At 49.3% G+C, this 15,836-nt stretch overlaps 1 long non-coding RNA gene across 1 annotated transcript, besides 2 other annotated features; it reads right to left on the bottom strand.

Moving 5' to 3' along the window:
- Positions 3,527-4,026: an enhancer, noted in NCBI's record as "H3K4me1 hESC enhancer chr20:48795707-48796206 (GRCh37/hg19 assembly coordinates)". NCBI's record gives its function as "activates a minimal SCP1, AML or CMV promoter by ChIP-STARR-seq in primed H9 embryonic stem cells {active_cell/tissue: H9 hESC(primed)}" and the evidence as "EXISTENCE:reporter gene assay evidence [ECO:0000049][PMID:30033119]".
- LINC01273 (long intergenic non-protein coding RNA 1273) lies at positions 6,525-10,626 on the bottom strand. The gene is made up of 3 exons (NR_109943.1): positions 10,408-10,626; positions 10,179-10,273; positions 6,525-6,915 (listed from the first exon to the last, which is right to left on the bottom strand). It is a non-coding gene; the product is annotated as a long intergenic non-protein coding RNA 1273 (long non-coding RNA).
- Positions 10,427-10,928: an enhancer, noted in NCBI's record as "H3K27ac-H3K4me1 hESC enhancer chr20:48788805-48789306 (GRCh37/hg19 assembly coordinates)". NCBI's record gives its function as "activates a minimal SCP1, AML or CMV promoter by ChIP-STARR-seq in primed H9 embryonic stem cells {active_cell/tissue: H9 hESC(primed)}" and the evidence as "EXISTENCE:reporter gene assay evidence [ECO:0000049][PMID:30033119]".

Below are 15,836 nucleotides of genomic sequence, written 5' to 3'. Positions count from 1 at the left end.
AAACCTTTGCCATTAGCTAAAACGTTTTTAAAATGTGAATGACACGCAGTGTTGATGGTGTGGAAAAACAGGCACTCTTACAGCTTCAGTCTTTGTGCGAAGTGGCGTAACCTCCAGTTCTAATCTGGCCATGCCCATCAAAATGGGAAATGTCGCAGCCATAAAAAATGAGAGTTCATGTCCTTTGTAGTGACATGGATGAAGCTGGAAACCATCATTCTCAGCAAACTATCGCAAGGACAAAAAAAACCAAACACGGCATATTCTCACTCATAGGTGGAAATTGAACAATGAGAACACATGGACACAGGAAGGGGAACATCACACACCGGGGCCTGTTGTGGGGTGGGGGAAGGGGGTAGGGATAGCATTTGGAGATATACCTAATGTTAAATGACGAGTTACTGGGTGCAGCACACCAACATGGCACATGTATACATATGTAACTAACCTGCACATTGTGCACATGTACCCTAAAACTTAAAGTATAATTTAAAAAATAATAAAACAAAATATAAAAAAAGGAAAAAAACAAAATGGGAAATGTCACTGGACCCAGAAATGCAAGGCATTTATGCCACCAAGACACTCACATTTGCTTAAAGAAAAATGGAGAACAGCAAATGCTTTGCAATAGCAAAAGCTTGTGAGGTAACGTCAGTGGCTGTCATTACCAAAGAACACTAAGAAGAATGAGGTAGCTCCATGGGAGAGGACTTAGACCAGCACTGTCCAAGAGAACCTTCTAGAATGATGGACATGTTCTCTATCTGGGTTGTATCATACGGCAGCTATCAGCCATGTGTGTCTATTGAATTCCTGAAATGTGGCTAGTGTACTTGAGGAACTGAATTTTTAATTTTATTGAATTGTATTTAAATTTAAATTAAGGCTGGGTGCAGTGGCTCACACCTGTAATCCCAGCACTTTGGGAGGCCAAGGCGGGTGGATCATGAGGTCAGGAGTTCAAGACCAGCCTGGCCAAGATGGTGAAACCCCATCTCTACTAAAAAAAAAAACCCACAAAAATTAGCCAGGCACAGTGGCAGGTGCCTATAATCCCAGCTACTCAGGAGGCTGAGGCAAGAGAATCACTTGAACCCGGGCAGCAGAGGTTGCAGTGAGCCGAGATCATGCCACTGCACTCCAGCCTGGGCAACAGAGTGAGACTCCATCTTAAAAAAAAAAAAAAAAAAATTAGCCGGTCATGGTGGTGTGTGCCTGTAGTCCCAGCTACTTGGGAGGCTGAGGCAGGAGGAGTGCTCTACTTTTAAAAAATACATAAAAATTTAATCTTTTAAAATACATTTAAATCACCTCCTGGACTAGCGACTACTATATTGAACAGTACACATCTAGAACAATCTCCAAGATCTATCATTAATTGGAAAAAAAATAAAAGCCAAGAGCAGGCCGGATGTGTGGTGTGCGAACCCCACATAAATGAGGGGAGGAGTGGAAATGTACTCACGTATTCTTTTTGGTTTGTTTATCTGTTTAGAAACAGGGTCTCACTGTATCACCCAGGCTGGACTGCAGTGGCTGTTCACAGGGAGATCATAGCACACAAATTCCTGGGTCTGGCGATCCTCCCACCTCAGCCTCCTGAGTAGCTGGGACTGCAGACGTGCGCCACCGCACCCAGCTTCATGTATTTGAGGATGCAGAGGCTCATGCTGGAAGGGTCATAAGAAACCAGCAACAGTAGTAGCCCAGGGCCGGGGGTTCTGGCTGCCACCATGTAACACTGCACCTCAAAACTTAGTGAATAACGCTGCAATAACCGTGCAAGCGCAGATATTTCTTCAACATACTAGATTCATTTCCATAGGATATGTGCAAGCGCAGATATTTCTTCAACACACTAGATTCATTTCCATGGGATATATACCCAGTGGTGGGGTTACTGGATTATATAGTAATGCCTTTTTTTTTTTTTTTTTTCAAAACAGAGTCTCACTTTGTTGCCCAGGCTGGAGTGCAGTGGCATGATCTCAGATCTCAGCTCACTGCAAATTCCACTTCCCAGGTTCAAGCAGCTCTCATGCCTTAGCCTCCCAAATAGCTGGATTACAGGTGTGTGCCACCACGCCCTAAAAATACAAAATAAAAAATTTTTGTATTTTTAGTAGAGACAGGGTTTTGCCATGTAGGCCAGGCTAGTCTTGAACTCCTGACCTCAAGTGATCCACCCACCTCGGCCGCCCAAAGTGTTGGGATTACAGGTGTGAGCTACCACGCCCGGCCAGTAATTCTGTTTTTTAAGGGCTTAAAATAACCACCAGTATATTTGCTCACGATCCTGTAGGTGAGGAATTAGGACAGAGCATGAGGGGACGGCTTATCTCTGCTCCAAGCGTCCACAGTGGCTTCTGTGCTCCACGTGTGGCACCTCACGGCTGGCCCGAGTGGCGGATGGCTGGCTGGACCATGTGTCTGCTGCCTTAGTTCATTCCTCAGTGCTCCCTCTGGCAGTTTCTTTCTCCCCATGTGGCCTCTGCACATGCTGCAAGTTGTCCCTTCAAGTAGCCTCTCCTCCTGGCCTCTCTTGCCCTTTCCATGTGGTCTCCTCAGCACAGTCTTTTTTTTTTTTTTTTTTTTTTTTAAACCTTGCACTTTTTGCAACCAGCACAGACTTCTTACACAGCTGCTGGCCTCCCCCAGAACACAAAAGTGGAAGCTGCTGCTTAAGACTTAAGCCAGCCAGGCGCGGTGGCTCACGCCTGTAATCCCAGCACTTTGGGAGGCCGAGGCGGGTGGATCATTTCAGGTCAGGAGTTCAAGACCGGCCTGGCCAACATGGTGAAACCCTATCTCTACTAAAAATACAAAAATTAGCCAGGCGCAGTGGCACGACCCTGTAATCCCAGCTACTCAGGAGGCTGAGGCAGGAGAATCACTTGAGCCCAGGAAGGGGAGCAGAGGCTGCAGTGAGCCAAGATTGAGCCACTGCACTCCAGCCTGGGCAACAGAACAAGACCCTGTCTCAAAAAAAAAAAAAACTCAATTCACCATGGGGCCTAGCGTGGTGGCTCACGCCTATAATCCCAGCACTTTGAGAGGCCAAAGCAGGAGGATCACTTGAGGCCAGGAGTTCAAGACAAGCCGGTCAACATAGCGAGACCCCCCCGTCTATACAAAAAAATCCAAAATTAGCCAGGTATGGTGGTGCGCATCTGCAGTCCCAGACATTCAGGAGATTGAGGCAGGAGGATCTCTTGGGCCCGAGAGGTCAAGGCTGCAGTGAGCCATGACTGTGTCACTGCACTCCAGCCTGGGTGATGGAGCAAGACCTTGTCTCTAAAAAGAAAAAAAAAAAATGTTTGCCATGGACACGTATGACCTTATGATTGGTTGGGTCCAGAATGTTGCCCGGTCCTGCTTCCACACCTTGGTTGTGCTGTTCCCCTGCCTGTAACAGTCTTCCTTTCCATCCCCAGCTGTCGAAATGCCCAGGGAAACGTTCCCTGAATGCCCAAGTCCGTTACTCTCCCCTCCTCCAGGCTCCAGCTGGACTTCAGGCCTCTGGGCCTCACTCCATCCACCCTACTGGAGTTAGTGTTGTGTAGTCTCCCTCTCCTGGGAACCCCTCTAGGGTCTGCGCAATCTTGGTCATCTCTGTCCACACACACATACAGTGGAATCATGCAGGTGCTGAGTAGGTGCTCAGTGACTTGAGGGCCCAAACCAGGAAAATACACATTTGCCCAACCCACCTTCCCCAACCCACCCCACCCCACCCCCACGCCCCGCCACAGGCATCATGGGTTGCGCTGCCTAGAATGGCCACAAGGTGGCGCGGGAGCCCCGCCTCCGATCTCTGCAACCTCTGAACTGGGAAACAGCTTCAGACTGGGGTTCCTGAGGGCCAGAGACCCCCGGGAGAGGGGGCCTCAAGCCCAGCTTTAAAGAGAAAGCTTACAGGCCAGGCGCGGTGGCTCACGCCTGTAATCCCAGCATTTTGGGAGGCCCAGGCGGGCAGATCACCTGAGGTCAGGAGTTCGAGACCAGCCTGACCAACATGGTGAAACCCCCGTCTCTACTAAAAATACAAAATACAAAAATATTAAAAATACAAAAATTAGCCCGGTGTGGTGGTGCATGCCTATAATCCCAGCTACTTGGGAGGCTGAGGCAGGAGAATCGCTTGAACCCGGGAGGCAGAGGTTGCGGTGAGCCGAGATCGCACCATTGCACTCCAGCCTGGGCAAAAAGAGTGAAACTCGGTCTCAAAAAAAAAAAAAAAAAGAAAGCTTACTGCCTACTCCCCTCCTCAAATTCAAAATTTACTTCCTCTTCAAGTAAATGGACTTTAATTATAGGCGTGCCAGCACTGATAGCTGCAACAATCTCTGAAATCTTGTTTGAGTGAAAGATGCCAGATGCCAAGAACTTCCTGTGTGATCCCATCTGTTTAGAGCTCTAGAACAGGCAGAACTCACCCATGAGGAAAATATCAGCACGGTGGTTGCCAGTTGGGGGAGAGCACAACTGAGGAGGGGACAAGGGTGCTCGCTGGGGTGATGGTGTGTGTTTCGTGTGAGTTTCCTAAGGCCGCCATGATAAGATACCACAAACCCAAAACAACAGAAATTTATTCTCCCCTGAAACCAGGGTCCTGCTCCCTCTGGAGGCTCTGGGGAAGAATCCCTCCTTGCCTCTTCCATGGTGCTTGCCCGCCATCCACCATGTTCCTTGGCTCTAGCTGCCTCACCCCAATCTCTGCCTTAATCTTCCAACGGCCTTCTTCCAGTGCCTTCTTCCCTCTGTGTGTTCACCTCCAAATCTCCCTCTCCTTTCTCTTATATAAACACCAGTCATTGGATTTAGAGCCCCCACAATCCAGAATGATCTCATCTTAAGTTGGGTTCATCTGCAAGCCCCTATTTCCAAATAAGGTCACATTCACAGGTCCCAGGGGTTAGGACTTGAACATATCTTCTTGGGGGACACAATTCAACCCACTGCATGTTTAACATCTTGGAGGGAGTTTGGGCAGTGCAGGTGGATGCATTTGTCAAAAGTAATCAAAAGTGGCTGGGCGCAGTGGCTCACCCCTGTAATCCCAGCACTTTGGGAGGCTGGGGCGGGTGAATCACTTGAGGTCAGGAGCTCAAGACCAGCCTGGCCAACATGGTGAAACCCCATCTCTACTAAAAATACAAAAATTAGCCTGGTGCAGTGGCAGGCGCCTGTAATCCCAACTGCTCAGGAGGCTGAGGCAGAAGAATCACTTGAACCCTGGAGGCAGAGGTTGCAGTGAGCAGAGATCGCAACACTAGACTCAGCCTTGGTGACAGAGCAAAACTCCATCTCAAAAAAATAATAATAATAATCAAAAGTACACCTAAAGGTGCAGTTCACCAAATGTAAGCTTTACAGACAGAGAAACAAATATTTGACTCTAGTTAATGACGTGCACACTGACATCTTGACATGCACACTGACATCTTGAGGGGTATCTGCAGCTTACCCAATTAAATGTTAAAAATAAAACAAGCCAGCCATGGTGACTGCCACCTGTAATCCCAGCACTTTGGGAGGCCAAGGCGGGTGGATCACTTGAGGTCAGGAGTTCAAGACCAGCCTGGCCAACATGGTGAAACTGCGTCTCTACTAAAAATTAGCTGAATGTGGTGGCGCACGCCTGTAATCCCAGTTACTTGTGAGGCTGAGGTAGGAGAATTGCTTGAACCTGGGAGAGGGATGTTGCAGTGAACCGAGATCGTGCCACTGCACTCCAGCCTGGGTGACAGAGTGAAACTCCATCTCAAAAAAATAACTGAAATAAATAAATAAATATAAAAATAAAACAGATTAATGAATAAACAGAGGTAGAGCCCCACCAATGCCACTTTTGAGAATCTATCCTGAGGAGCTCATCATGAAAATAACTCAAGCCTGCTCCTCACCACACATTCATTTAGGCTTTTCTTTAGATAAGATCTCTGTAGCCCAGGCTCAAGTACGTCGGCACCATCACAGCTCACTGCAGCCTCAACACCCCCAGACTCAGGTGCCCTTCCCTCCTCTGCCTCCCAAGTAGCTGGGACCACAGGCACGCACCACCATGCCAGGCTAATTTTTTTTTTTTTTTTTTTGGAGACAGGGTCTGCCACTCTGTCACCCAGGCTAGAGTGCAGTGGCACAATCACGGCTCACTGCAATCTCAGCCTCCCCAGGCTCAAGCAATCCTCACATTTCAGCCTCCCAAGTAGCTGGGACTACAGGCACACACCACCACACCTGGCTAATTTTTTTGCATTTTGTAGAGACAGGATTTTGCCATGTTTCCCAGGCTGGTCTCAAACTCATGGGCTCAAGCGATCTGCCTACCTCGGCTTCCCAAAATGCTGAGAAGCCACTGTGCTCGGCCTAGTCATTTAAACATTTTAATGATGAAAACTATGGAAACCAACTCAGTGCTCAGCTTTGCCACCCCCACTGGAGCACCTGGGGACTCAGCCTGAGGCTGTGGGAGGCATCAGGTGCGGGAAGCCTCTGAAATGAAGGGAAAGGTTGAACGTGGTTGCGTTTGCTTTATTACAGAAAGAATTATTCCAGCTTTCATCCAGTTCTCAGGGCCAGGCCGGTAACCCCCACAGAGGTGAAGGCCCCTGGTCAGCTGGGTGCTGGGTGCCCACCGGGTGCTGACATGCATACTCAGACCCCTCAAGAGGAAAGGGTGGCCTCCTTCACCAGGAAGCCGGCGCTGGTCCCGGCCCTGTCGCCGGGAACGTAAGCAACTGGGCCTCTTTTTCCTGGGCATTTATGCTGTGCCAGGCACTGCCCGAGGGGGTTGTATTTCTTCATATATTTATTCCCTTCTCTTCTGGTACCTGCCATCCACCTCTTCTCACCCCCACTCAAAGGCAGCCATTCTGTCACTTTGTGTCTTTTTGCTGGAATGTGTCCCTGCAAAACACATGTGGCTACTTTGTGGCATGAACACTTGTGTGAAGGGTTTTGTAGCTGTGGCTCATCCACGGTCCTTTCTATGAGCAGTCCCCAGTCTCAGCCGCCCAGTCCCTGGGGTAGACACCCAAGTGACCCCCAACCTGCCCCACCACAGATAAGGTGAGCTGCCACCTCCTTGCACCCTCTAGGGCTGGTGTGAGGATGTCTCTGGGACTTTGGCTTGAGAGTAGGTTGTAGGGGATGGGGGGACTAATTTGACTAAGTACCAGGTGCTCTACAGAAAGGCTGTCCCGTCTCCACTCACACCAGCTGTGCCCAAGGGTTTTATATCCCATATCTTCCACCACCGCTTGGTACTATTCACCATTTTTTTTTTTTTTTTTTTTTGAGACAGAGTCTTGCTCTGTCGCCCAGGCTGGAGTGCAGTGGTGCAATCTCAGCTCACTGCAACCTCCACCTCCTAGATTCAAGCAATTCTCGTGCCTCAGCCTCCCGAGTAGCTGGGACTACAAGTGCCCACCACCATGCCTGGCTAATTTTTGTATTTTTAGTAGACACGGAGTTTCTCCATGTTGGCCAGGCTGGTCTCGAACTCCTGACCTCAGGTGATCTACCTGCCTTGGCCTCCCAAAGTGCTGGGATTTCAGGCGTGCACCAACACACCTGGCACTATTCACCTTTTAAATTTTTTTTTAATTTTGAAATACTTTCAGACTTAGAGAAAAGTTACAAATACTTCAAATATTTCCCAAATGTTTTCATTTTACTACATTTGATGTATCATATTCTCCTTCTTTCTCTCTCTCTCTCTCCACAGACACACACACACACACACACACACGCACATGTGTCGTTTTTTGTTTGTTTGCTTTTTGAGACAGGGTCTCTCTGTCACCTTTTTAATTAGCCAGGCGTGGTGTTGCACATTTGTAGGCCCAGCTACTCAGGAGGCTGAGGTGGGAGGATCGCTTGAATCCAGGAGTTCGAGGCTATAGTGAGCAGGTATCATGCCACTGCACTCCCTCCTGGGCAACAGAGCGAGACACCATCTCCAAAGAAAAAAAAAAAGAAAAAAAAACAAAACAAAAAGATGTCTGCGGTTGGGCATGGTGGCTCATGCCTGTAATCCCAGCACTTTGAGAGGCCAAGGCGGGTGGATCACGAGGCCAGGAGTTCAAGACCAGCCTGGCCAACATGGTGAAACCCTGTCCCTACTAAAAATACAAAAATTAGCCGGGCGTGGTGGTGGGCGCCTGTAATCCCAGCTACTCGGGAGGCGGAGACAGGGGAATCGCTTGAACCCGGGAGGCAGAGGTTGCTGTGAGCCGAAATTGTGCCACTGTACTCCAGCTTGGACAACAGAGCGAGACCCTGTGTCAATAAATAAATAAATAAATAAATAAATAATGTGACCTGTTAATGTGAGTTACATATTTAATTTAAAATTGTCTAGACTGACCAGCCTGTGCAACATAGTGAGACTCCATCTCTATGAAAAAATTTAAAAATTAACTGGACATAGTGGTGCCTGCCTGTAGTCTCAGATACTTGGGAGGTGAGGCAGGAGGACTGCCTGAGCCCAGGACTTCAAGGCTCCAGTGAGCTATGACTGCACTCCAGCCTCGGTGACAGAGCAAGACCTTGTCTCTAAAAATAAATATTTTCTTTTTTGAGACAGAGTTTTGCTCTTGTTGCCTGGGCTGGAGTGCAATGACACTATCAGCTCATCGCAACCTCCATCTCCCGGGTTCAAGCGATTCTCCTGTCTCAGCCTCCCGAGTAGCTGGGATTACAGGCATGCACCACCACACCTGGCTAATTTTGTATTTTTAGTAGAGGCGGGGTTTCTCCATGTTGGTCAGGCTGGTCTCAAACTCTCAACCTCATGTGATCCATCCACCTTGGCCTCCCAAAGTGCTGGGATTACAGGCGTGAGCCACCGCACCCGGCTTCTTTTTTTTTTTTTTTTTTAATTTTTTGAGACAGAGTCTCACTCTGTTGCCCAGGCTGGAATGCAGTGGTGCTATCTCTGCTCACTGCAACCTTCACCTCCCAGGTTCAAGCGATTCTCCTGACTCAGTCTCCTGAGTAGCTGGGATTACAGGCGCCTGCCACCACGCCTGGCTAATTTTTTTTGTATTTTTAATAGAGACAGTGTTACACCATTTTGGCCAGGCTGGTCTCGAACTCATGACCCCAGGTATTCCACCTGCCTCAGCTTCCCAAAGTGCTGGGATTACAAACATGAGCCACTGCACCCCGCCAAGGGTTGTAGTTCTTAAAGTCTTTCTTTATCAGGCATATAAGAATGAGACCCCTCTCTTCATGGTCTGCCTCTATTTGTGAAGGTTTTCTTAACATTAGTGACACCAGGCCAGGCGCGGTGGCTCACGTTTGTAATCCCAGCACTTTGGGAGGCTGAGGAGGGCGGATTACGAGGTCAGGAGATCGAGACCACGATGAAACCCCGTCTCTACTAAAAATGCAAAAAATTAGCTGGGCGTGGTGGCGGGTGCCTGCAGTCCCAGCTACTCCAAGAGGCTGAGGCAGGAGAATGGTGTGAAGCTGGGAGGCGGAGCTTGCAGTGAGCCGAGATCGCACCACTGCACTCCCTCCTGGGCAACAGAGCGAGACTCCATCTCAAAAAAAAAAAAAAAAAAAAAAAAAAAAACATTAGTGACACCATTTTGATTCTGACAACTGTCACACATTTTTTTATTGTGGTAAAATATTTAACAGAATATTTATATTTTTCACCATTATTAAGTGTACAATTCAGTGGCATTAAATGCATTCACACTAGGCACAGTGGCTCACACCTGTAATCCCAGCACTTTGGGAGGCCAAGGCGGGAGAATTACTTGAGCCCAAGTGTTCAAGACCAGCCTGGGCAACATAGCGATACCCCCATCTCTACAAAAAAATACAAGAAAAATCAGCCAGGCGTGGTGGCACGCACCTGTAGTCCCAGCTACTCGGGAGGCTGAGGTGGGAAAATCACTTGAGCACGGGAGGTCGAAGCTGCAGTGAGCTAGGATTGCACCACTGCAGTCCAGCCTGGGCAACAGAATAAGACCTTGTCACAAAAAACAAAGAAAAGAAAAAAAATTCACAATGCTGTATACTCGTCATAACTCTCTGTATCCAAAACTTTTCCATCATCCCCAACACAAACTCTGTCCTCATTCAACAATTCCCCCCTCTCTCCAGGTAATCTCTATTCTATTTTCCATCTCTCAGAATCTGCCCATCCCAGGTACCTCATACAACATTGTCCTTCTGTGTCTGGCTTCTTTCACTGAGCACAATGTTTTCCAGGTCCATAGGTGTTGTGGTCTGTGTTGGAATGTTCTTCCTGGGACAAAACAAGGCCTGTCTGACTCCAGGGCTGCCCCCGATCCCCCACGCCCACCTGCCTGTCCCCTCTGCAGGCCTCAGTGCTTCTGTCTGTAGGAAGGGAAGGGCTGGGCGGCCTGCTGGGCTGGTCACCTGCCACCTTGCCGTCAGCGCCTTCCCTCGCGTTAATCACTGTTCAGCCAGAAAACCGAAACCCCTGAACACCGCAACAGAGACTCTCCCACAGGGAACGGGTTACAGAGACGACGGTGGAGGCAGAGGCCGAACGGGATGGGGAGGACGCTCCGAGAAAGAAATCGCAGCCGCAGAGAGCCACTGCCACCTCTAAGCTGGAGGGGCTGGTAAGGTTGCTGTAGCCCAGGGCCTGCGTCACTCCGCAAAGCGGGAGGCACAGGGGCCTGTCCCGGGGCGCTCCCCGACCGGGGCCTCCCGTTGGCCAATAGGAACTCACCGGACGCGAGCCTGGGAAAGGCGCCGCAGGGTCAGCTCTGGGATACACAGAGCAGAGCTGCAGAGGGCGGAGCTTGGATCGGAAGGCAAAGAGCCCCCGCCCCCGCCCGACAGACCCTCCCTCCCTGGTCAACTCCTACCAGGCAGCCCCCACTGTGGCTCCAAGCCCTGGCTTCTCGGACCCAGCTTCCTTCTGTCCCGCTGGCCTAGGGTGGAGCGCCTCCAGCTGTGGCCAATGCTTCACCTGGCCTTTCTGCATCTCGGCTCGTCCGTCCTCTGTGTAAGCAATGCCTGTATTCCATCCCTTCTGTCTGAAATGCCTAGGGTGGTCTCCCTCTTCCAGACTGGCCCCCAATGAGACACCAGTGGTGCTGTCGTTTACAGAGTGGCCACAGTGCTACCACGGGAGGTTAGTGGATGGCTGAGTCATGAACCAGAAAGGAGGGCAGAAGTGAGGTGAGATGGGTCCCCAAGGCAGGGCCACTCCGTGGTAAGTGCAGGATCTCAAGGCAGACCCTGAGCTTTACAGAGACGTTGAGTGGCCACAATCAGGCCCCCAGCTCAGCCAGTGGACGGGCTCCATGTGGCACTGGGCCAAAGAAACCAGCCTCCACTGAGGGCCTCCTGTGTGCCCAGCTGTATTCCCACGTCAACCCCATCTCAGCTGGCAGGGCTCACCGTAATAGAGGACTGCAGACTGTGTGGTTTAATCAACAGAGATTGTTGTCAAGGTGTGAGCGGGGCTGGCTTCTCCCGCAGCCTCGCTCCGGGGCTTGTAGATGGCCGCCTTCTTGCTCTGGGCTCACATGGCCCTCCCTCTGTTTGTGTCTGTGTCCACATTTCCTCTTCCTATGAAGACAACGATTATATTGGATTAGGGTCCACCCTAATGACCTCATTTTTACTTAATTACCTTTTTTTTTTTTTCAAGAGGGAGCTTCACTCTGTGACCCAGGCTGGAGTGCAGTGGCGGGATCTCGGCTCACTGCAACTCCCGCCTCCCGGCTTCCAGCAATTCTCCTGCCTCAGCCTGCCGGGTAGCTAGGATTACAGATGTTCACCACCATGCCCAGCTAATTTTTGTATTTTTCCTAGAGATAGGGTTTCACCATGTTGGCCAGGCTGGTCTCGAATTCCTGACCTCAAGTAATCTGCCCACCTCCACCTCCCAAAGTGCTGGGATTACAGGCGTGAGCCGCTGTGCCTGGCCACTTAATTACCCCTTTAAAGGCCTTATTTCCAAATACAGTAACATTCTGAGGTACTGGGGGTTAGAATCTCAACATAATTATTTGGAGGAGGTCATCATTCAGCCTGTGACACCCCCCAGTTTCACAAGGTGGGCATTATCGGCCCTGTTTTCCAAATGAGGAAACTGAGGCCCAGAGAGTGGCTCACCCAAGGCCACCCAGAGCTGGGTCTCCTCAGGTCCAGGGCTCCCCACCCCCCACACCATGAGCAGGGCTGCTGCTCCACCTGCCAGCCCAGGGAATCTTCTGTCACTCTCTGTGACTGCCGCAGACCCTGGGAAACGGATTCCAATCCCTCTTCCTTTCGTTCCCTCTGCTGTGTGTAATAAGATGATGACCCACCATTTATTGGCCCTTTCCTATGTGTGAGGCTCTTCCACTAGCATTTCTCATGCATTCCATACACACACACGACACGGCTCCTCTGGCTCTGCTCAAGCCTCCTCAGAGATGCCCTCCTCACACACCCCACTTGTAACAATGCCTCCACCCACACCAGCACGCCTCCTGCTTTATTTTCGTTTGTAGTGTCATAAATACCTGAAATTAGGCTGGATACGGTGGTTCACGCCTGTAATCCCGCCACTGGGAGGCCGAGGTGGGTAAATTACTTGAGGCCAGGAGTTCGAGACTAGCCTGGGCGACATGGAAAAACCCCATCTCTACTAAAATACAAAAATTAGCCGACTACTAAAATACAAAAGTTAGCCGACATGGTGGTGTGTACCTGTAGTCCCAGCTACTTGGCAGGCCAAGGCATGAGAATCACTGGAACCCAGGAGGTGGAGGCTGCAGTGACTGAGATGGCACCAGTGCACTCCAACCTGGGTGACAAACTGAGACTCTGTCTCAAAAATAAATAAATAAATAAAAATAATACCTGAGATTATATCACATGCATGCTTATTGGTTTGTTGTGTTCTCTGCACTAGACTGTAAGCTCCAGGAGGGCAGGACCCAGGCCTCATCCCCTGCTGTATCCCTGGCACCTAGATGAGATTGTCAGTCACTGACATCTTTATTGAAATGTTGTTTCAATAAATTATTAAATAAATTAGTTCTTTCACCCAGCCCTCACCAATAATCTGTAACACGGGCCTTAGGATCCTTATTTTATTTTATTTTTTTTGAGACAGAGTCTTGCTCTGTCTCCCAGGCTGGAGTGCAGTGGCGTGATCTCAGCTCACTGCAACCTCTGCCTCCCAGGTTCAAGTGATTCTCTTGCCTCAGCCTCCCGAGTAGCTGGGATTACAGGCACACGCCACCACACCCAGCTAATTTTTGTATTCTTAGTAGAGATGGGGTTTCACCATGTTGGCCAGGCTGGTCTCGAACTCTTGACCTTGTGATCTGCCCGCCTCAGCCTCCCAAAGTTCTGGGATTAAAGGCATGAGCCACCGCACCTGGCCCAGAATCCTTATTTTACAGAAGAAGAAAGTGAGGCTCAGAGAAAGTCCCAAATCCACCCAGGCTCACCCAGCTAGTAAGTAGTGAAGCTGGAATTTGAACCCAAGTCTATGCTTGCAACCTCCACACCCAGGCCACCTCCTTGCCTTGACCTTCCTTCCAAATCTCTCCCTGCTCTGTGCCTTCCCAAACCACCCTCACACAATTGCCCCGAACCTCTCTTCTTCTAGAAATTCCCAATACGTAACCAAGCTGGGCTGCAGTATCCCTTTGTGCCAGCAGGTGTCACCAGAGAATCCAGAAAGCCATAGTCCGCGGTCTTGCACTCCAGAGCACAGTTCATACTCTGATTTACTTAATCACTTTTAAGGATATTTCCAAGTTTTTGCTCCACAAAGGAAGGTGCAGCTGCATCCTGGCACCTGTGTTCATGTGCTATGTGGTGAGAATTTCCCTGGGAATGGATTCCTAGAAATGCAATTGCAAAAGAGCAAAAATAACTTTAAATTGCATAGATTTAAAGATTTGCTAAGCCGGGTTTACAACTGAGAAATGTGAGACCCAGAGAGGGCACATGGGTGGCTCAGGGGCACACAGCTAGCTAGTGGAAAGGCCAGATTTAGAACTAGTAGTACTAGCTCCTCTGGGCCAGGCGCGGTGGCTTACACCTGTAATCCCAGCACTTTGGAAGGCCAAGGTGGGCAAATCACTTGAGCCAAAGAGTTCGAGACCAGCCTGGTAGAGTGAGACCTTGTCGTTAAAAAAAATACAGAAAAAAAATCAGCCAGGCACGGTGGTACACACCTGCAGTCCTAGCACTTTTGGAGACCAAGGTGGGCAGATCACTTGAATCCTGGAGTTTGAGATCAGCCTGGGCAACATAGTGAGACCATGTCTCTATAAAAAATACATATATATATCTCCAGCTGTGGTGGCACACATCTGTAGTTCCAGCTACTCAGGAGGCTGAGGTGAGAGGACTGCTGGAGCCCAAGAGGTCAAGGCAGCAGTGAGCCGTGATCACACCACTGCACTCCAGCCTGGGCAACAGAGCGAGACCCTGTGTCAGAAAGAACTAGCCTCCAGCCATGAATATTTCTACTGCACCTGGACGTTGCTCCCACCTAGGCTAAGGCAGAGTCTTTGTGCATGAATCTGTATGGGGGCCTGGATCTGACTGCTTCTTTGGTTATTCAATCATCCATTTATTCATTAGACAAACTACAATGGTGGGATACAGGCTCCATGCTGTAAGAAAGGTTCAAATAACAACTGCCTCCTAGTCAAAAAGTAGTTTGTTTTCCTCTCTCATATTAATCTGAATGAAAGTGATCCAGAGCTGCATAGTTGCTTTACGGTGTCAGGAACCCAGTCTTTTGCTATCTTGCGCTCTTTTTGTTGAAGACAACTGGCAGTTTTCATCTTATGGTCCAAAATGGCTGCCCAAGGCTGGACACAGTGGCACATGCCTGTAATCCCAGCACTTTGGGAGTCCAAGGTGGGCGGACCACTTGAGCTCAAGAGTTCAAGACCAGCCTGGGCAACATGGTGAAACCTCATCTCTACAAAAAAAAATTAACCAAGCGTGGCGGCAGGTGCCTGTTGTCCCAGCTACTTGGGAGGCTGGGTGGATCGCTTGAACCCGGGAGGTGGAGGTTGCAGTGAGCTGAGATCGCACCACTGCACTCCAGCCTGGGTGACAGAGTGAGACCCTGTCTCAAAAAAAAAAAAACCCTATGTTGACTTCTAGTCAACATAGTACTGGTAGTTCTAGCCAGAGCAATTAGGAATGAAAAAGAAATCAGGCCAGGCGCAGTGGCTCACGCCTGTAATCCCAGCACTTTGGGAGGCCGACGCGGGTGGATCACGAGGTCAGGAGATCGAGACCATCCTGGCTAATACGGTGAAACCCCGTCTCTACTAAAAATACAGAAAAATTAGCTGGGCGCGGTGGCGGGTGCCTGTAGTCCCAGCTACTCGAGAGGCTGAGGCAGGAGAATGGCGTGAACCCGGGAGGTGGAGCTTGCAGTGAGCCGAGATCGAGCCACTGCACTCCAGCCTGGGCGAAAGAGTGAGACTCCATCTCAAAAAAAAAAAGAAAAAGAAATCAAAGGCATCCAAACGGAAAGGAAGAAGTAAAATAATCTCTGCTCTCCAATGATATGATCTTATATGTAGAAACCCTAAAGATTTCACAAACTAAGAAAAAACTGTTAGAATTAATAAATGAATGCAGCAAAGTAGCAAGATACAAAGTCAGCACACAAAAATCAGTTACTTTTCTCTACACTGACAGTGAGTGATCTGAAACAAAAATTATAAAAACAATTTCATTTACAATAATATCAAAAAGAAGAAAATCCTTAGGAATTAATCCAAAAAGTGAAAAACTTGTACAATGAAAACTACAAAACAGGCCAGGCTTGGTGGCTCCTGCCTGTAATCCCATCACTT

The sequence above is a fragment of the Homo sapiens genome, chromosome 20, assembly GCF_000001405.40.
Source record: "Homo sapiens chromosome 20, GRCh38.p14 Primary Assembly".
Lineage (NCBI taxonomy): Eukaryota > Metazoa > Chordata > Mammalia > Primates > Hominidae > Homo > Homo sapiens.
The sequence above is the reverse complement of the archived record's forward strand: the minus strand, read 5'-3'. Positions and strand labels throughout refer to the sequence as shown.